Source organism: Homo sapiens, chromosome 9 (genome assembly GCF_000001405.40).
Source record: "Homo sapiens chromosome 9, GRCh38.p14 Primary Assembly".
NCBI classification, from domain to species: Eukaryota; Metazoa; Chordata; class Mammalia; order Primates; family Hominidae; genus Homo; species Homo sapiens.
Genome location: NC_000009.12, coordinates 123,028,483 through 123,050,141, shown reverse-complemented (window position 1 = coordinate 123,050,141; position 21,659 = coordinate 123,028,483). Strand labels below are relative to the sequence as shown.

General features: G+C 37.1%; 2 protein-coding genes and 1 pseudogene across 14 annotated transcripts in view; 1 reads left to right on the top strand and 2 right to left on the bottom strand.

Moving 5' to 3' along the window:
- Positions 1 to 21,659, bottom strand: part of RABGAP1 (RAB GTPase activating protein 1) — a 173,196-nt gene that overhangs the window by 54,725 nt on the left and 96,812 nt on the right. The window lies entirely within an intron of this gene.
- GPR21 (G protein-coupled receptor 21) lies at positions 1,039 to 16,475 on the bottom strand. 2 transcript variants are annotated; one of them, XM_005251933.5, is made up of 2 exons: positions 16,400 to 16,475; positions 1,039 to 15,877 (listed from the first exon to the last, which is right to left on the bottom strand). In XM_005251933.5, the coding sequence occupies exon 2, from the start codon at positions 15,573 to 15,575 to the stop codon at positions 14,526 to 14,528; it is 1,050 nt and encodes a 349-aa protein (XP_005251990.1). In that variant the 5' UTR covers positions 15,576 to 15,877; positions 16,400 to 16,475; the 3' UTR covers positions 1,039 to 14,525. The 2 variants fall into 2 exon arrangements, with proteins under 2 accessions (XP_005251990.1, NP_005285.1); NM_005294.3 differs by having other exon boundaries at positions 14,477 to 15,971.
- RPS25P8 (ribosomal protein S25 pseudogene 8) lies at positions 20,330 to 20,810 on the top strand (annotated as a pseudogene).

Below are 21,659 nucleotides of genomic sequence, written 5' to 3'. Positions count from 1 at the left end.
AAAGGCATTTCAGAATCTGGTCATAATTGTGTGGAGACTGGAGTTGGACTTTTGACAAAGAATGCAGACGATGGACTTTAGGTGCTCTACTTAGATCACAATGCAACCAACAGAACACAAAGTCTAGGGCCAGGCTGTTCTGTCTCTGGGTACTGCCTCTCCCACTTACTAATTTGTGTGACCTTGGGCAAGTCATTTAACTAATCTGAACCTTAACAAACCTATCTATAAAATCTATGCAATGGTCCCTGCCTCACAGTTTATGAGAAGCAAATGAAATACTGCATGGAAAGCTGGTGGCTTAAGGCCTGGTATATCAGCGGTAGCTCTTTCTCAACAGACTTGAGATTTATGATGCTGGCATATTTCCCACCTTGGGAGAGAAGCCAAGGGACAAAATCTGTATTTGGCAAGTTTTCCTGTTTGGGACTTAGTGCCCTGTCGGGGATCTGCAATTAGACAGTATACAGTTCAGAAATCTCCTGAATGTTATGAACATCACATTTAAACCAAATGAAATTATAAAGAAATCAGGTGGCAGAAAAACTGATACTTGAAACATAAGTGATACAATAAGAGTATTTTGTTTTTTAGCCTATGAACCATACTAATGAAAACACTGTAGAGCTCAATATTAAATACCTTTGCTGATTATCTTTTTTCTTCCAAAATCATTTCTCAGAAGCAAAAATCCATCTAGGTTTCTCTATTATCGTTGTCTAATTTAGTAAGGAGTTCATCCATTTCAAGAAAAATAATATAAACATTCCAAATGACTCTACTCCCTTTACTCTTTTCCCCTCCAAACAACTTACTCCAAACACACAAAACAACAACAACAACAACAACAAAAAACACCATATGCTGTAATCATTGAACTGTCACAGAACCTTTACTACACCAGACTCAATAAGCTGGCTCTAGAAATGTTTGCCAAATAAGCTCCTTTAACATATACTTTAGAATTATATTAGCTGAATGATTATATAAGTATTATGTTCAATCTATACCACACGTTGAAATAGAAAAGCAGATGACTTCCTCAGAAAAGATGGCTCTTTATTTAATGAAATATTTTACTGCTATCACATTGTTTCAATCCAAATATGGCATTATAGTGCCATTCTAAAAATAAATCTAAGTCCCATGTGATATGCAGCCTTTTAGCTATGTTCATTTCCTTTTAGGGCTCAAGTTTCCCACAGGAAAATTATTCAATGTTTGGCAAAACGGTCCCAAATCATGTATAAATAAGACATAAATGCTAACTGCACTGTCAACCTTTTCCTGGTTTGCTATTGTTGATTCTCCTTCACAGCAATCCATCATGGAGAGGCCCAAGAAGCAGGAAATACTCAAGTACTGTTACCTGACAAAAGTGAACACACAAAATATCATTTTGATTTAAGAGGTGGTGATAGTCAAAGGGGGAAGGTAATTTATGGGTGAACTAAGACATAAAATTATTATATGCAAAGTCATATTCCAAACAAATGTTTCTGATAACTGTGATGAACTTCCAAATACTTATTTCATTGTATTATTACCAAGTAAACTGCATATCAAATGCTCTCTTAGTACAGCTTAATACGTACTGTATTGTTTGACTTGTACTATTTGTTTAAAGATTTTGTAAAGCGTTGTATGCTATGGATAAAATCTTCTCAAAATCACCTACTAATAACATGCAACACACAGACACACAGAGGACCAAGTCTCATATTGCTCAAGTTATATTTTTAAATAATCGAATCAATGGATTATTTCCAAGAAAATGCTTATAAATGCTTCAAAATGCTAACAAATACTCAGTTTTACTTTACAAAGTTAGCTTCTCTTCTGAAATAAGTCACAAATCAGAGATTTAAATGTGTCTATTGAGTAGCAAAAATATACAGCAGTTGATTGGGCATGATGGCTCACGCCTGTAATCCTAACACTTTGGGAGGCCAAGATGGACGGATCACCTGAGGTCAGGAGTTCGAGACCAGCCTGGCCAACATGGTGAAACCCCATCTCTACTAAAAATACAAAATTAGCTGGGCGTGGTGATGCACACCTGTAATCCCGGCTTCTCAGGAGGCTAAGGCAGGAGAATCGCTTGAACCTGGGAGGCGGAGGTTCGCAGTGGGCCGAGATCGCGCCATTGCACTCCAGCCTGGGCAGCAAGAGCAAGACTCCGTCTCAAAAAAAAAAAAAAAAAAAAAAAAAAAAAAAAAAAACCCAGCAGCTGTAAAATGGCTAGATATTTTTGCTCTTATAACAATTAACAAATATTAAATGAAAATCTGTGTTTGAATGATACCAGTCATGTAACAGCTCCATCAGTGAACTGCTGCACTGCATTAAGAATTCCGTAAGAGGTCTGCATTCACACCCATATTCAAAGGCTACAGGTATATATTCTGAGGTTTCAACCTTTATTTTAATTTTGAATTTTTATAAAGCTTTTAGGCAAAAATATTTTCTTGAGCTCAACATATAAGAAAAATCATATTGAAGATTTTAATTTTTCTATGGAAGAATCTTAATAAGTATCAAAAAACAATACTTAAAAGCTATCTTATTTTAGAAGTATAAAGCTATAAGTAAACCAGATCTTTTTCTATTAACTAAAAAACTTAAAACTTATCAGCACATAGGAAATAATCCCAAGCAAAGTATATTAGTATCTATGTAGTAATGCCTTAAAGGACTCTCCTAGAATTAAACTTTTTATATTTTCATATTTAAAATTCTTGGAAAACAGCTACTTTAAAAGTTACTAGACAACTTATGATCTTCCATTTTATTTAAGCAAAAACTTTACCCTTCAAACTCACTAGCAGTACAATTATAAATACCAATGAAAGAATTCTAGAAATACCCATTTATTTTTTACCTCCTCGAACAAACATTTCTGAGGTTGTTACTAGTGATCAAGAGAACATTTTGATTAGTACTGAAAGAAAATCTTAACTCGTTTGGCTGAAAGTACCAATGGAAAGACAATTCTTTGATTTTACTTAACACAAACCAAACTCTGAACAGTTGTTTCCTTTTTTTCCAAACCTGCTGAAAACTCCTATTTTCTAAGCACTTGACAAATGTTGAATAACCCTTTGGACTTATTCTAGTGGAATGACTGAGTCTAAAGGAGGTTTAATACCTGGATTCTAGTCCTAGTTCTGCAAATAATTAACTCTGTCACTATTCTGGGTCTCTCTTTCCCTGTTTGTGAAAGTAGGAGTCCAGATTATGTCTGCTAAGGGATCTTCTAAGCTCTGTCACTTAAGGATTCTATATTTATGTCATTCATTTTCTCAGAAGTCTTAAGTCTACCTCCAATTCCTAAATAGAATTAAATCCCTTAGCCATGTATTCCAGACCAGCTATCACTAGTTTATCTTTCTGAATTTATTCTCCCTTATATCTCAACTTAAAACTTCTGCTTCATCCATACTACCCTATTCACAAGACAGCTGTACCAGCTAACATGTACTGAGTGCTTACTGCATGCCAAGCACTACGCTAAGAGCTTTACATGCATTAGCTCATTTAATCTTTACAATACTCACATGAGACAGTGTCATTAGTTAAGACAACTGAGACTTAGAACGATTATGTACTTTGCCCCAGGTCTCACAGCTAGTAAGTGGCAGGGCTAGGATTCAAACCCAGGTCTGTCTGCCTCTCAAGCACATACTTTTGGCCACTACACATTACACAGTCTCCTTATTCCTTAAGTATATAAACAGCCCCCCTTCATCAGGCCTTTTAAGCTTAAAATAGGAGCTGCCAAAATTGTATTTTCTGCATAAGACCAACTCATTTTTAAAGTTTGGTTAAAGTGACCCCTCTTTACCGCTTCAGCCTCAAATTTCCTTTCCACCTCCTGAAGTATTTAAAATTCTTACCGTAAACCCCAATGACTTATTATTCCCTTGATGAAGTACATCCAAGTATTGTATGTGTATCCTAATGTCCGAGATTTGTATAGGACTAACCCTACTGCAAAATGTATTACAAAAGCAGGACAAAATACATAAAACATCAGTTGAAGAACTGGAGCTAACTATCAAGGCAGTACTTAAGGGATTTACCATCCCTGAGAGAAGGAAGCACACCAGGCCACTCCACATTCACCCAAGGCCTTTCCTCTGATGGTATGTGCCAATTTGCAGGACCTGGAAGTCATTGGAAGAATCTGACCTCTGTGTGGCAAAGAAATAATAGCTGAAATCTTTTACTGAGTTCCTACAATGCCCCCAAGTACAATTTTACATACTTTAGATGTGATAGTACCTAATTTTCACAATAATTCTAATGAGGTAGTATTATCCCATTTTGCAGAGTAGAAAACCAAGGGCCAAAGACTCCAAAAATCCATGCTCTTTTCACTACCTTCCTCTTTATCTCAGAGGAAAAAAATGATCCAAGAGTACGAAGTAATCACAGTGACAACTTTAAAAGCCTTACTATTAACATAATATGCAACTGATCTTAAACCAACTCCTATAATACTGCTGTCATCTTCATTCAAAGATGAAGATCCTTCTAACATTCAGACAGATTAAGATTACCTAATTAACTGCCAGAACTAGGATCTACATTTTGTTTTAACTTTATTTCCAGTGTTCTATAGGCTACAATACACATCCTCAGTATTATAAAATGATGTTAATGATATATAATGTTAACAAAACTTAAGTAGGAATGACTTAGATTCCTACGAATACATACCACGAAGAAGGGGAACTTTTATAAATGAAAAAAGGCTTTAGTCTGATTCAGTTCCCCAGAGGCAATAAAGACAAGAGACCCACAAATGGCCTTCTTAAACTTTATTTTTTCGTCTAGCTAAAAATAAATGGCTTTGGCAGTTGAGGTTTCCTCCGTTTTTCTGGAAGAAATTTTCAAAATAAATAATGCTATTTAAATGCTATAACTTTTGTCTTTCTCCCCAAAATATTGCCTTAACAATTCAACTCAGTAAGTATTTGCTGAAAGCTGATAGACAGAATTTAAAACTTTACTTTGAAAATATGATTACTTTTATATTTTGCTCAAAGCTAATTCAGTCGTTTTGTAACAAGCCAACAAATCTTTCATTAAGTAACTACAATCATAATAATTTCTTGTAAAGATAGGTTTTTTAATTTGCAAAGGGCTTTCTCATGTCATATATTGTTTGTTAAATTGTAGATCACTTCATTACAGTCTTTAGTCTGTTGATCCTTTGGGTTCCTTTAATTCTGTCCAGCTGGATACTTTACGAAATCTCATTCAAGGAGGGGGTCTGGGGTGAGGAGAGGAATCAGACTATAGGAATTCTACTCCACCCTGAGCCTAGCCCATCTCTCACACTGCCTTCTAAGGAAATCTATTTAACAGGCACCTCCTTGCCTTTGAACACTACATGGCATTTTGCATTCCTCTCATCATTTCACAATACCATGTCTTGTATTATACTCATGTACCAGCACACATACTCATATACATACACATACACACACACACACACACACACACACACGTACGTGTGTTTTCCTATATTCCTTCCCACGATGTCAAAGAAGGATGCATTCCAGCACCTTCTGTCTTCTCTTGGTAAAAAACAAAATTACAAAATCTGAAAAGTTCCAAACAGACACCTATGGAGGCGTAGTGATACAGCAGACTGGAAACCAAAAAGGTCTTAAAGACCCAAAACTCCATTCCCATAATTGGAAAAGAGGGACAATATTAACTTTGCCTATACTTCTAGGGGGATTAAATGAGACAATTAATAGGAAATGGCTTTGTAAAGAACCATAGGTAAAATAGTGCTATTATGCCCCCATTTACTATTTCAGTAATGTTCTATACCTGGGCCTCCTTCCCGATTTCCCTTTACTTCTGTTAAAATACATCTCTTTTCCTAAATGTGGTCTACACTTTTCATAGAAAATAATACACCTGGCTGGGCGCGGTGGCTCACGCCTGTAATCCTACCACTTTGGGAGGCCGAGATGGGCGGATCACGAGGTCAGAAGATCGAGACCATCCTGGATAACATGGTGAAACCCCGTCTCTACTAAAAATACAAAAAAAAACTAGCCATGCATGGTGGTGGGCGCCTGTAGTCCCAGCTACTCGGGAGGCTGAGGCAGGAGAATGGCCTGAACCCGGGAGGCGGAGCTTGCAGTGAGCCGAGATCGCGCCATTGCACTCCAGCCTGGGTGACTGAGTGAGACTCCGTCTCAAAAAAAAAAAAAAAAAAGAAAATAATACACCTACGTAAGTGAAAAGGTCAAACAGTACAAAGCTTACAATGAAATTCCCTTCACTCTTCATACCCTATTCCTTAGAGGCAACCATTTTCACCTCTCCTTTTTTTAAAGCTGTTTGTTTTTAATTCATACTTCTGAATAAAATGCTTAAGTTGCTATTTTCTGGGTTTTTCCACTTTAGACATCAGTTTCAGAGTTTACACTATGGAAGATGCTACTGTAGCTCTGTTACACCCACCCTCCTTCCCCTCACCCCCCAAACACTTCCCTTCCCCTCACCCTGTCAACAGTGTTGCTATCATTTTTGGCTAAACACCAAACTATACACAGCAACACATAACTGAATCAGAGTATGTCATGATCTTATTTCCTTTCTTCAATTTTCTATTTTTTTCTGAAGTTATTAATTGCCTATCTTTTTCTTTTCCTTGGTTTTCTATGTATCTATCACCAATTCTTCCCCTAAAAATCTCACAAAACTAAATTCTTCTCACCATGGTGAAAATCCCAACTATATTTTCCTAGAGACATACCTCCTAGTGCCTTCTTTGTTCCTGCTCCTATTTAGACTGGCTGCTCTCTAGGTCTCCTGCATAGTTGCTTTCGTAGAGCTTTCCTTCCTGTGGGAATTGTTTTCACCATCCTCCTGTGTCAGAGACCCTGTTTCCTGGATTCTGTATCTCTTTATTTATTTCCTCCCTCATTCTGGAGAAGCATATCCTTCAGTAACTTCCCGAGAAAGTACGTTAAGGCAGGTGAATATTTTGTGATTTTGCAGACCTCAAAATGAGTTTAGTTTACCCTCACACTTGAATGACAGTTTGGGCATAAAATTGTGGGTTGGAAATCACTTCTCCTCAAAATTCTGAAGCTATTACCCATTATCTTCTAGCTTTATTGTGGCAAAAAGTCCTCTGCTACTCAAATCCCTATACTTTGTATGTTTAGACTCCACCATCCATGCCCCACCCCATTCAAGAAGCTTTTAGGAATTTTTATCCCCATTGTTCTGAAATTTTATAACAATTTGCCATCATGTGAATCTTTTTATTACACTGAAATGGGCCTTTTCATTATGAAAACACGTATCTTTCAGCACTGGAAAATTTTCTTGTGATATTTATTAATTTCTTCCTTTCTTTTCCTCTATTCTGTTTCTGAAGATTCTGTTAGTCAGCTATTGGGTTCCCTGATTAAACCTCCGACTGTTTTGCTTTTTCATCTATTTTCTGTCTCTCTGCCTTTTTGTTTCACTATCTGACCTACTTCATTTTCTAGCCTGCTTACTGAAACAAACAAAAAAATTATTATACTTTAAATTGCAAGAGTTCTTTCTTGTTCTCTTCCTATTCATTTTTACTGCACTCTGTTCTCCCCTGCTTTAATGGATACAAAATCTTCTCTGAGAATGTTAGTTACAGTTGGGTTTTTTGGTTGTTTTCTTCAGCAACCTATATTCTTTCTGTTTCTTCTGATTTCTGTCATTTGCTTGATTGTTTTGGGCTCTGTACTTTATGTGAGAACTTTTTCTCAAAAGTGCAATTATCTCTGGCTGTCTGTTAATATTAAAAGTGAAGCAATAAAAAACTGTGAGCTCTGTGTGCATGGGTGGGATGTGTTGATTGATGGGCATCACCTTAAAGTGACCAGGCAGGGAATGTGGCTATTTTGTTTCTGAGCCCTCAAATGTCAGCCCCGAGAATACACTCCTCTCATATCCTGCTTAGAACATTCTGAGAGTGTAGTGTGGTAAGGGGGCTGATTATTTAACACACAGACTTTCTTACAGCAGTCATGTTTGCAACAAAGCACACCTTTAGTTCCATTCTCAGCTATGCCTGGCATCTAGAGTGGTTCAGCTTTTCCAAAGAGTAAATCTCCCACCTTCTGCTGCAATGGTGAAAACCAGTTGCCTGCTTGGGATGGGGATTCAGGTGGGATGGGGATTCAGGTGGGATGGGGAAGAGGAGTAAGGGGTGATGATGTCTAAATATTCCTTATATAAACTTTCTATCAATTACTCTGTTTTTCAGCTTCTATCAATTCTTGTTTTTTAGTCTCTATGCTTATAGGGACATCTTAGCAATCCAATTCCCAAGTAGTTACTGTGGTCAATAGACAAATCAGGCTGTTTCTTTTTGCTCCTCTTCCTCATTTGACTTTAGAAAGCAGCTCTGTTGATTCCGCTGAGTCAGTTACTACTCGTCCACTGAATTTCCATATTCCAAAATTCTGCTGGCATCACTGTCTGTCATCATCTCTGTTCTCCTTCTTTTTATCCATATTATACCTTTGCTATTCTTTATAGTGGAGTTAACAGAAATATGCATATTCAATCTGCTACATTTAGCAGGAGGTCTGTCATGTTTCTAAAGCCTAGGCTTACATAATGGTACAGAACACAAGCTTTAGAGTCAAAGAATTGGATTTGAATCATAACACTTACTATGTATGTAACCTTAGAAGCTTCTTAACCTCTCTAAGCCTATGTTTCCTCACCTATAAAATAGGAAAATTCAAAATAACTACCTGATAGGTTGCTGTGAAAATTAAATGTAGAATATAAGAAAAAATTAAGGCAAGAACATAGGCTTTGGAGTCAGAAGTCCTAGATTTGAATCCCAGATCTTCCACTTATAAGCTGTCTGACTCTGGCACCTCAAAATCTGTTTCATCTGTATAATGGGGTTAATAACAGTCACTAGCTCTTACAGTGTTGGAAGTATTAACATAAAGTTTATAAAATTCTCCTGAAACATAAAGAGTCTCAATTAACATTTATATTATTGCTCATACTTCTTACCCTTAGAATTACACACATACACATGTGCCCACCCCATGGCATGGCTGAGTCAAGTCAAATTCCAACTCCTCTGCAAAAGCAATATGATATACTACAAAAGAGCAACGGATTAGGAAGCATGAAGTCTGGGTATTACCATAAATAGATAACCCAGTGGCCACTGGGCTGGTTTCTCCTCTGCAAAATAACAGAATCAGACCAAATGATTCCTAAGGTCCTTTCCAACTCATCTGCCTCTCCCTGCCTCCTTTGCTAGACATTATCTGACATTAATATCACATCCCTAATTATCTGATGCTATTAATTTTTATAGGTAGTTTCATGTATTTTGCTTTTCTAACTAGGAACTACATGAAAACTAAGATGAGCGGCTCCCTCAAACTAACGTAAAAAACAAAGATGTGTTTTGAATAATAAAAAAATCATAAAACTAGTATGTTTTATGATAAAAGATAGGGCTGGGGATATAAAAAGCACCTTAAAGAGAAAGAATGAGTTGCAGGCTTGCAGACTACTAAGACTTGCAAAGAATCTGACTAAAAGACAAGTAACAGAAGTTAATTGAACTAAAGAAATACCGTAATATGTCAATGAGAAGGTAGGTTAGCCAATAATGGAAGCAGGGATGATTTCACCTTTTACTATGATCTCAATAATGTTCACATTACAGAACCATGTTCTGAGATTCCATTCCCACCAAGCAAGCTTCTGAATACAGTTTGGCTTCCCATAAATATCTGCTAATAGAGAAGACTGCTCTCAATTACCAGCATCTACTTCTTAAACTAATAAAGTGACATGATTTTATACACCAGCATCATATGATTGTACCCCACAAAAAACAGTGCTGTGGGGGTGGCCCACCAGGAAGCCTTGGTACATTCTTCCAGATAAAGTAGAGAACAGTGAGGCTTCCTGGAAGACAGATAATCACAGAATTTTTCCACAAGAAACACCTAAAGACTATATAGTTCTACAAGAAAGGAATGATCCTTCTTTGATCCCTCTCTGAGGCTAGTTATACTACCTGGCACACAGCAGAACTTACTAGATAAGTGCTTCTTGATTGCTTAAACTTTCCCTAAAAGCCACTGCTCTTACATAATACAATTTTCCATACCCTATGGCAGTATCAAGGAAATACTTCTTTCTGGATACATGACCAATAGTGTGGTAAGAAAAGGAAGGAAGAAGGAAAGACAGAGCTAGAAAACTGGGAAAGGCTGAAAGGGAGACAAAAGCAAAACCACATAGGAAGTTTCTTTCATCAAGGCTTTCTATAGTTCCTTTGGCCTTGTGACCAGTTTTACAGAGCTTTATCTGGATCCAGAGCCAAGAAGGTGTGATCCAACTACATATTTCCTAATCCATTCTGTGAAAAACTGGCAATTTGAAAGCACTGCCTGAAGTTCTCTGGGCCGAAGCTACAGAGTTTCCAGAAGCAAAGTTATCTAAGTATATAGAGGACTCACATTACCACATTAATCTCTTGATACCAAAAAGAGATATTATTTATTATTTAAAATCTAGAATAACCTAGACCAAATGGAAGGTTGCTTATGAGGCTCTGGACTACCTTTCAAACATCACTGCCCTATAATACCTTACAGAAGGGAGAAGGCTGGTGTGACTACATGCAATAATTACAGAGTCATTTATTCATTCTATAAAACTTACTAAAACTTCTGCTCTGAGCCAGGTCCTAGGTCAGATTGTGGGGATAAAGATATTAACCAGACAGATAAGAGACACTGTCCCTTGCCTTCAGAGAGTTTGATGACAAGTGAAGGAAGTAAATCAAAGCAATTTTATGTTGAATTCAAGGCTACTGTCATTTTAGGAGGATGAGCATTTATTTTGCTTCTCTTCTCAAGTCTGGGATTGCTAAGTAGCACAGAGTAGTGGTGTAGCATTGAGCTTCAAAGATCAAAGTGTGGGGGAACACATCATGATGTATGGCTTCCTTACATGTAGAAGAATGGCAGATACAAATAACAGTAATGATTTTTATTTGCAAAGCACTTTACAATTTACAAAGTACTTTCACATCTATTATCTAACGCAAGCCCCAAACTAACCCTATGAGGTATGAAGGGATCAATATTTCCTTCTAGGAGAAATTAAGCATTTAGAGAAGTGACTTGCCCTCATTTACAAAACTACTTAATTAGAAACAGAAGCCTACATTTTTTTATTCTCAGTTCCAACTTCATTTTTACTATATGATGCCCTTTTGTCATGCAAATTTTGAAGAAAGGCCAAATGACTCGTTTACAGCCATAAGAAATGTCTACAATATTTCCAAGGTCTGCAACATAATATTAATAATATATAAATTTAATATAAATACTTAATATTTTTTTCTTCAACCTGAAATGAAAAAAATTACACAAAAGTCAACACACAAAATGATTTATGAGGACTTCAAAAAATCTCAATGCCACAGTTTTCCCATTCTTAAATTTCCCAAAATTTGCTCATGTAACAATACATTTTGGCTTGCTGGTAATTTCACCAACAACTATGAAACAAAAACATACTCAGTGAAATTAAAACAATTCCTATACCAAGTCAACATGCAGATTTTTCAAACAAACCTGAAAAGCTGAGGAAACCCTCCTAGAAACCACTCCACCATCTGGGCCATCTGGGAGTCTAACCCTGCTGCTTCATTTTCAAGTTCAAGGAGGTGGGCAATGCATTTACGGTAAAAAAAAATTCAAGTTTTCCCAATCCTTAAAATACTGAGACCATTATTCAAGTAAAAAGTAAAAGCCATTATAAAAGGCTTGAAAAGAATTTATCCAGCAATAAAGCTTAAAGAAAACCTTTTCCAAAATGGAATTTTGAGTAAGAGTCAATAGGCCCGTGAAAAAAACGCAAATATCCAATCTAGTGTCAGGATAATGCTCTCACTAAAGTTGAGCACACTAGTCCATTTGTAATTGCTTTTCTACTCTAAGAAGGGGGAAAAAACCACTTTCACTGAAATCACTGCATTAAAAAATACAACTAGTTTACAAATATAACATCAGTATAATCCTACTTTAAAATTTACTATGAAATAATTTCAACATAATCACCAAAAGTATATGTTTCCTCTGATACCAGTCACATGCCATATAAAGTTAAATGAGCTATCCCGCCAACGCCATGGTAACTGAATCTAAAAATACATTTTTTTTGAAGTCAGACTGGTATTTAAACTAAATGTCATCAAATGTTGCATTAAATATGCCAGGATGAAAAGTTCAGTTAAACATGAACTTTCCAAATATATCACACAGAAAACACCCCCAGCCACTAAAGGGGACACTACTGTGTCCAGGAGCATCTCCTCTCTCCCAACACATACACACACAACAAAATAAGATCAAACCTGCTGATTTAATATCAATTTTTCAACAAAAATTAAGTGTTTAAAATTGCCATATTTTCTAAACTAAAAATTCATAAGCAAACTGCAAATGTGAACAGGTTACATTCTCTAACATGTATGAAAAAAGGTAAATTTTGGTTTTTTAGATCTGTACCACTTAAAGGGAAAATGTATACAATACAACCATTTTTCAGAATCTAACAGAAAAGGTTTCCCATTTGAAATGGCAATTTAACCAAGCCATTTCTAACATAACTTGCAATTTCAGTATGAGTTCTAAATTTTGAAGCAGCTTAGAATAAAATTTGCTAACACTAAACATAAAGAGCAAGCAAGGTTTTGGGAAAAACCCAGAATCTGAAGTTTGAATGTTTATGTAATGCTTAGTCACTTAAAATAAAAAAGTTTAAATAGAACACAACTGAGGTTAAAATCAAGTTGATGTCTAAAGCCTAAAATCATAAGAACACTGGCATCATGATGGAAAACCAAAGCTTATCTGCCTGCTTTATAAATATCCATGTCCTTTCTTGGATTCAGAAATCCACTTTAACCCATGTCCCCTGGGTTTCTTCCATCTTCCATCTCACTGAACACCACTGTCGCATTCAGATTACAACCTCTAGCCAAAGGCAGAGATCAAGTAAGTCCCTTGAAGACTTCCAGAACATTTCCAGAACAGCAGAAAAGTAGAGGAAATACTCTCGTGCCTGGAGCTGCCGGAATTCCTTCTCTCCTTTTAGAAAAATAAACCTCTTGCTCTAAAGATAATCACTTTTAAGAACAAACATCACTACTACATACAAACACACATAACTCTCAATAATAATTCTATAGAAGAATTATAAAATCCTATAGGTTTTTCTAGTACTTTGGCAGGAAAAAAAAAAAAGACCATTAAGAACTGTATGCCAAAGGATTTTTTTTCCAGAGAGAAAATAGCAATAAGAGACTTAAGTGTTTTCCCTTCTCCTCTTCAAATGTGGATTCCTTAGCACTAACTGAAAGAATACTTTTCAAAAATAACTAGTTGATTCCATTTAACCACAAAGAAAATGTCTCAACTACCTTGTATTTTAAAAAAACAATCTGTATACTACGGTATACTTTCTGACTCAGTTGCTTATGACCGACACCCTTCTCCCTGATGTTCTAATATTTCAGAAGTCTTTGAATAGAAAGAACAGACAATATTAAAGACACATTTTTGTATATAGTCACCATTATAAAATGGACAGCCAACAGCCTATCACTGAATTACTTTTTAGCTTAAGCACATTTTGCTGTAAAAGAGAAATCTAACAATTCAGATATTCTAAATATAGACATAACACAAAGGCATGGGCAAAAGTACTACACGATTACTTCTACGCACACATATCTTTAGATCTCTGTGAAGCATGGCACAAAAAGTAGCTCAGTTTTTCATAAATTGTATAATTTGATTGCACTTTTGCTTCATGGTTCACTGTAAAATTCTAAAATTAATGTTTATGTGTTCACATTATTCACCCTACTGAGAATTCTCTCAAGAGAATAAAACACAGAACATTTGGCTTTCTAAATGACAGTGTTGAAACTTGCAGTGTAGTTATGCTTTGGCATACATAAAAAGTAATTTCTAAAACCTTTTCATTTATATTTTACTATTCCGTTAGAAGAAATCAATTGCATATGAAGCCCAAATAGCTGGAAAGAGCCCAGAAAGTGACAAGAAAGTGATGACTTTTTAAAATGCTGACGCTTTTCACACTCAGGTTCAGTCATGCCAGCTGGAAAGAGGTGTTAGATATGGCTTTATTCATTTTAAATCTGAGAACTGTAGTCATTTCCAAGACATTTCAAAAATTGAGAGCAAGAGCAATTTGTCTTCATGATCTTGAGTCTTCTAATTCACAAGCACTTTTGAAAACCATTTCTACAAACTTAGAAGGTATCCATACGAATAATTTGTATGCTATTGTTTAGAGTCAAAGTATTCTGTCCCAGATTTCCTAGTGAATTAGGAATACTTAGAGATAAAATACACACACACACACACACACACACACACACACACACACACACACGGGAACCCCGTAACTGAGCCACTTCAGATATGACATCCATTAAGAGGGCCTTTGCTTCTAACTGTGTAAGGGTCGTTGGCTGTAGTCTGACTTGCACAAGAAGTACACATAGCCCCTGAGAGGCGCTTTAGTCCTCTTTGGAATACACTGTTGGAGAGACTATAAATTACACAGTTGCAGAAACTGTTACTAATAGCAAGCCAGGTGGTCAAGAAGGATGCGAAGCGGTTGCTGTGGCCAGTGGAGCTTTCCAACAAGAAGTAGATGATATATGGCAACCAGAGGATGTAAAATACACTAGTGATTCGAAACAGGACCATGGCATAGCGCTTATCAGGACAGGCCTGCACTTCCCCAGTCTCCCCACTCTGGCTGCTGAAGCGGGCTTGCCTTTCGCTGATATCCTTTGTGTGCTGTTGGCAGATGCGGAAGATGTTGAAATAGGTGAAGCAGACAATAAGGGCTGCTGGGGCATATAACATCATCACGATGAACAGGGTGAAGTAGGAGTCGGTGTGCCAGGACTCCGCACACCACTGAAACACATCTCCATGATATCCAGGTTTGCCCCAGTGGAAAAAGGAAGGCAGGAAGACCAGGGTCGAGTATAGCCAAATCAGGAAAATACACAGGCGTAGTCTCCAGGGTGTAACCAGAGTATTATAGGTTAAAGGTTTAGTAATGGCAATGTATCTATCAATGCTGATACAGGCCAGAGAAGCCATGGAGACGCTCTTCAGAACTGATACTACAAAACCAAATATCTGGCAAGTCAAGGACTCCTCTACTGGAAGGGGGTGATGGAGGAGTGATAAAGAAGGGACCACGCAGCTCACCCCAACAAAAAGGTCAGCATATGCCATAGTCTGGATAAAATAACTTGTAGTGTGATGGTTCAACAAAGGTGCACAGTGAAATACAAAAATCACAATGATGTTGCCAGAAATAATCAATACAGTTAGAAAGACAATAATCAATACTTCCAAAAGGCAAAAATTGACAGTTTCCAAATAGCCAAATGCCAAGAGGCAAAAAGGGTGGCTGCTCTGATTACCATCCAAGGTGGAGTTCATCTTGAGCTCAGGAGTGATCTGTCACTTCATGCTGCCGCTTGGCTGCTGCCAACAGTTCAAAGAAGCAGCTGCTGTCATTGCGGTCAGCTTTGCATGTGTGTAATAATGCCAGAGGAGCCTTACTCCCCAAGCTCCTGATGCTGCTGCTCTGGTGCATTGCCTGCAGTGCAATTCCCCTTTAAATCCTTCCTGGAATAAGGAGAGCCAGCAGCAGTTGTCTGGCCAGTCCCAGACGCGGCCATAGTGCCAGGTTCACCATACACATAGCACCAGGGGAGCAAGGTAAACTCTGGGGAGAACGTCTTCAGGCCAAGTGAGGGTAGGGGGAAAGGGTAGAAGAGAAGGGAAGAAGATTAGGAGCTTCAGCAGGAGTTGTAATGAGTCTCCTCTGAACAGCTGATAGAAGAAAAGGAGAGAGCATTTTACATTTCACATCCAATGCCCTAATCAAAGAACCTGGCTAGCTCAGGCTGGCATCATCCCTCCCGCTCCACCCCTACTGGCACCACTATTCACGGCTACCCTCAATAGCACCCCACACAACTGATCTGTACTGTATAGAGGAGCAGCAGCAACATCAAGCTTTCAAGATCAGCATAAAACAAAACCAATCACAGTCAGATTAATTTACCCCCATTTCCTTTCATTTGAGACGGGGGAGAAAAGGAATTTGCTTATAATATTTAGGAAAACCTTTCACTACAATTACCACTAATAAAATTAGCCAAGATAATTTACTTTCTTCATTGATTCCAATATAATATTTTGCCTCTTTGAAAACATTTCAACAGAATTTACTGTTTAGTTCAATTTCAGAATGTTACCTGTAATTCTGCATGCTGCAATCCAAACAAAAGCCACAATACATCCTTAGCAGAAAGCCTTGCAAAGCAGGAATGTGCTTCAACCCGCGTACTGCAGAACTAAGACACGGAGGGAGGAGATAAAGGAGTAGGAGGGGAAACAGGGAGAAGAGGGGGCTTGGGAAAAGGAAGAAAGGGGGAGGGGAAAGAAAAAGCCTGTACGTGCACACACTCTGGCATCTTTAGCAACTAATTGGAATTCATCGTCAGAGAGGTGCCCCGATTTCCAGACTGCACAGTGTGGGAATGGCTTGCTATGCCTGCAGTGCACCATTTGAAGGCTGTTTCCTCGTCTGTCTGGAATCCCCCTTTTAGTAGATAAGCAGAATTCAGGGTGCTAGCAAGGAGAAGGGGTAGTAACAGAACAGGGTGTCAGGAATTAGACTGAAACACACTACCAGAGGGGTAATTTCTATTTTCTCACGGCATTTTCCCAAAGAACAAAGAGCAATATTAAAGAAAGGAAGTATGTTAACTTCCTTTAAGTGTATGGCGTATGGCAACTGAGAATCATAATTCAGCTGCACAAGAAGTTCTAGCTAGAAGGCTATTCACCATTAATTTTGTCTCTCATGATTCACTGAATATTGGCCAAGAAACTTTAAGATCACTTTTTCAAGAGAAAAATAAAGTATCTCCCATTCTGAATACTACACAAATAGCACAGATAAATTACACTGTTCCCATATTTGACACTACGCTATAATTTTGAGATGCATTTCTTGCTTCTAATTTGCTGAGCAGTAAACAAGAATACAAACAGAAGATAGAAAAGTAAATGTACCTTCTTCTACTCAGGCATGGATATTACAGGAAGTTTCATGGTACAAATAAGCCTTTGTATCTTAGAATATACAATCTTGCTTCTGCCTATTTAAAACAATGCAAACTGTATCATATTATATTGTGGTTTTCCTGGTAATGTCATAAATGATGACAATTTTCAGCTAACAGAGTTGGGTGCTATGAAAATGTGTAATTTTAGTATCTTTATTTAGAAGGATTAATTGAAAGTATCCAGCAGAATAAAAGACAATAAACAAATGCCGGCATTTGAAAGCATTCCAAGAGGTAGGCAACTGAGTAAAAACATGTGATCCAACTTTCATTTTTATTCATTTTATACACATGCTTTCTAATTACAGACAAATGGCCACCCATAATCAGAATGCGATGAATTACATTTTAAATCTGAAGCAGCAGCAGTTGTCTGGCCAGTCCCAGACGCGGCCATAGCCCCAAAATAAAAAACCTATTTAACCGTAATCCTGATAGTAATATTTGACAGGTCTTATTGGGAAACAGAGCGAAGTGTGTGGCACAGTAAAAAGACCAATAGCATCGAAGGAACAATAATCAGGTTCAAATTCTTGCTCTAATATTACTTATCCTCTCTTAAGCCTCTGTTTCATCATCTGTAAAATGAGAACAACACTCCTTACTTCACAGGGTTGTTGAGAAATAAAGTATATAAAAAAGGCTTACCAACACCTAGCACAGAGGGGGTATATAACTTTACTCACTTTCTGCTCCTACAACTAAAGTAGCCTTCCTTAAGAGCCAGTGTTTTCCTGCCCATCATGTTGAAATGCTTAAGGCTGGGCTCCTCTGAATCCTGAAGGGCCTGCTCTTACTGAGGCTATACAGTTCTAGGTCATACAACAGCTATCTGAATACAGTGCTGTCACACATTACTCAAATACATTGAGGCTATGCATATACAAAGCACTGAAGGTAGCTGAAAAGAAGGAATGATGACATGGCGTCAATTATTCCCTCAACATAAATAATTTCTCTGCCTAGGTCTCCAGCCCTGACTTCACTCCTAAGCTCCCTTTTCCATCTACAATTTGCCTGCTAGTCACACATTTTCCACCAGTAGATGGAAGATGTCCTGTAGATGTCCTGTAGAGATTTCAACCACAGCATGTCTAAAATCAAAAACCTTTTTCCCACCAAATAAGCCTCTGTATTTTTCCAACATTTTCCCAGGCACTCCGGTATGAAACTTAGGAATCAATCACCTTGACCACTCTCTCCCTCAAAGCACTTAGTTCTGAGTCACCAAGTCCTGAAAATGTATTTCCACAATAGTTCTCAAATGCATTTCCTCCTTTCAATTTTTAATACACTTACCATAGAAGATGATTACCACCTAAACTTACAGTTTTGTTCATTTTTCTAATTTTTTCTTTTCTGTCTGGTTAAATATCCAAAATGTACATTTTATTATTGTACCCCATTGTTCAAGAGTCAATGGCTCCTTTACTGCCTTTCTAGTCTGATCTCAACTGTTTTACTTCCCCCAAATAACCTGCCCTCCAGCCAAATCAGATTACTTCTATACACTTGCCATAGACTTTATTTTTAAACCATATTTACTGAGCACCTTAATAAATACGGAATAAAGGAGTGATTTTTGAGAGTTACTGCTGTATTTCAATAAACAGAAAAAGTGTTCACCAAAGTCAAAAGTCTAGGCTTTTCTACTACTACTTGTGAATTTGGGCATGAAACTTATTCTCTCTGTGGTTTCCCATGTATAAAACAAGACAGTTACGCTGATAAAAACAGACAATACAATGGCTGAAAATTTGAAAGAATTCAAAATTTATAAAATTGCAACAAAACTACAAGCTGTTACATTACTGCCATTAGTACAGTAACAGTTCTTTCAACTTTGTTTCTATTTTAGTGAAACCACTCTAGGAGCTAAAATCAAAATATTCATTTAAGAAACTTTAAAAAAAAAAGACTAATAGCCACATTTAACTGAATCAATCAGGAATTAAATGTTTTGCTTTGGATTAAAGAAAAACATTTTCTTCAAAAGACACAATTTATTAACAACTTGGGGAGGCTCTATAAATTTGTATCCTTACAGAAATCCACATGTACATTTGGTCTTTAACCATAACATAGACTCATTCTAGTGTTCCATACCACTCTAGGAAGACTATAGTTAATACTATGTAGTTTCAAATAGCTAGAAGGAGGTTACTGAATGTTCCCAACACAGAGAAATGATAAATGTTGATAAATGTTAGAGATGATGGGTATGTGCACAATTACCATGATCTGATCAGTATATACTATATGTATCAAAACATCCTTATATACCTCATAAGTATGTATGTTATATGCTGATTAAAAAATACAATAAAAAATAAAATAATGCAGTCTCATGATATATTCTCTCTATATTTACTTTGAAGGCTGAGTAACTTTCTATATATATATGACTAAAAGGAAATACATTAAAAATCAACACTATTATTGGATGGTGGGATAACATTCATTAAAAAATCTTTCTTCTTTATAGCTTTCTATATTTTCTGAATTTTCCAATTTCTATATACTCTCAGAACCATATTGATTTAGCAAGATAGAATGATGCTGGGTTGAAGTTGTCTACTTCATGGGGCTCTGTTCCACTTGTTCTTATGCCATCAGAGCAACATTCCTTCAGACAGTCTTTGGTACTCAATCTAACTCAAAATGGACTCCCAAAATGTCAGTTAAAACCTCTTACAGAACAAGAATATAATTACGAACTTACCGATACTTAACCATTTCATTGCTAGCTAAATACTTTCTGACCTGCAAACACGCCAATTTCTATATGGTTCAACCTAATGAAATTAAAACAACTTTAAAAGCCAAAATAATTAAAATAACAAAATGACAGGCTTAAAAAGAAAAGCAGAACGAGAAATGAAATGTAACAAAAAAAGGAAAAGACCTGTTCAAATTATATTTCTTTTTCTCCCAACCTATTCAGAGACTTAACTACTTGTAGATGATAAATTATCTCAGTTCTTCAAATTCCTAAGCTTCACCTCTGGGCATTAGTGTCAACTACCACTTATTATTTGGTAAAAATGAGCTTCACTTTTTGTCTGACATCTTAGCAAGGCTGCAGTGTTCGCCACTGCTCTCCGAGCTTCACGATGCCACCCAAGGACTACAAGAAGAAGACAGACACTGGAAAGTCAGCCAAGAAAGACAAAGACCCAGTGAACAAACCCGGGGGCAAGGCCAAAAAGAAGAAATGGTCCAAAGGCAAAGTTAGGGACAAGCTCAATACCTTGTCTTGTTTGACAAAGCTACATATGACAAACTCTGTAAGGAAGTTCCCAACTATAAACTTATAACTCCAGTTGTGGTCTCTAAGAGACTGAAGATTTGAGGTTCCCTGGCCAGGGCAGCCCTTCTGGAGCTCCTTAGTAAAGGACTTATCAAACTGGTTTCAAAGCACAGAGCTCAAGTAATTTACACCAGAAATACCAAGGGCAGAGATGCTCCAGCTGCTGGTGAAGATGCATGAACAGGTCCAAGCAACTCTACATTTGGAAAAATAAAACTTTATTAAGTAAAAAAAAAAAATGAGCTTTAAACATTGATTAATTAACATATTATTTTAGTGCAGCTGATGTGAGTTTATTTATGTAACTGTCATTCCAAAAATGATTTGAGATACTTTGACTCATCTTTTATTCCTCCCTCGCCCTCATCTCCCACATTCATTCAGTCATCAAGTGAGTGCCAAGGACTCTACCTCTGAAATCCTCTTAAATAGCATCTTTTTCCCCATCCCTTTGCCACTACACCCCAATCCAAGTTGAAATTATCTCTTGCCTGAATTATTAACGGGTCTCGCTGCAATTATTCTTACTCCATGCTAGCCCAAGTAACAGAGTGATCTTTCTAAGCCTGATAATACAGATAATAAGCAAAAAATATATATAATATTAAGTTATTTACACTTAGTATGGACTATGGATTATACTAAGAATTTTCACACATTAATTCTAACAACTCTACAACTATTATTATTCCATTTTACAGATAAGGAAACCAAAGCGTATGAATGTTAAATTGCCCAATTTCAATGGCTAGAATACAGCAGAACTAGGATCTGAATTAAGACAATTTGCCTTTAGATGGAAACCACTTTGCATACTGCCTTATAAACCGGAATATATAACCTGCCTGCTTAAAATGCTTCATTCGCTTCTGTTGCCCAAAACCTTAAATATGCCTTCTGAAGCTTTCAAAGATCTGTTCCCTATCTACCACCTCTCTGGTCTTACCTCCATTCACACTCTATGGAACTGCCTTGAGTACACGCTGTTCTCTCTGACTTTTAAGACCACATCTGTTATGCAGCACCCTATCCCACCCCAACTATCCAACCCCTGGCTAATTTCTGAGCAAGAGA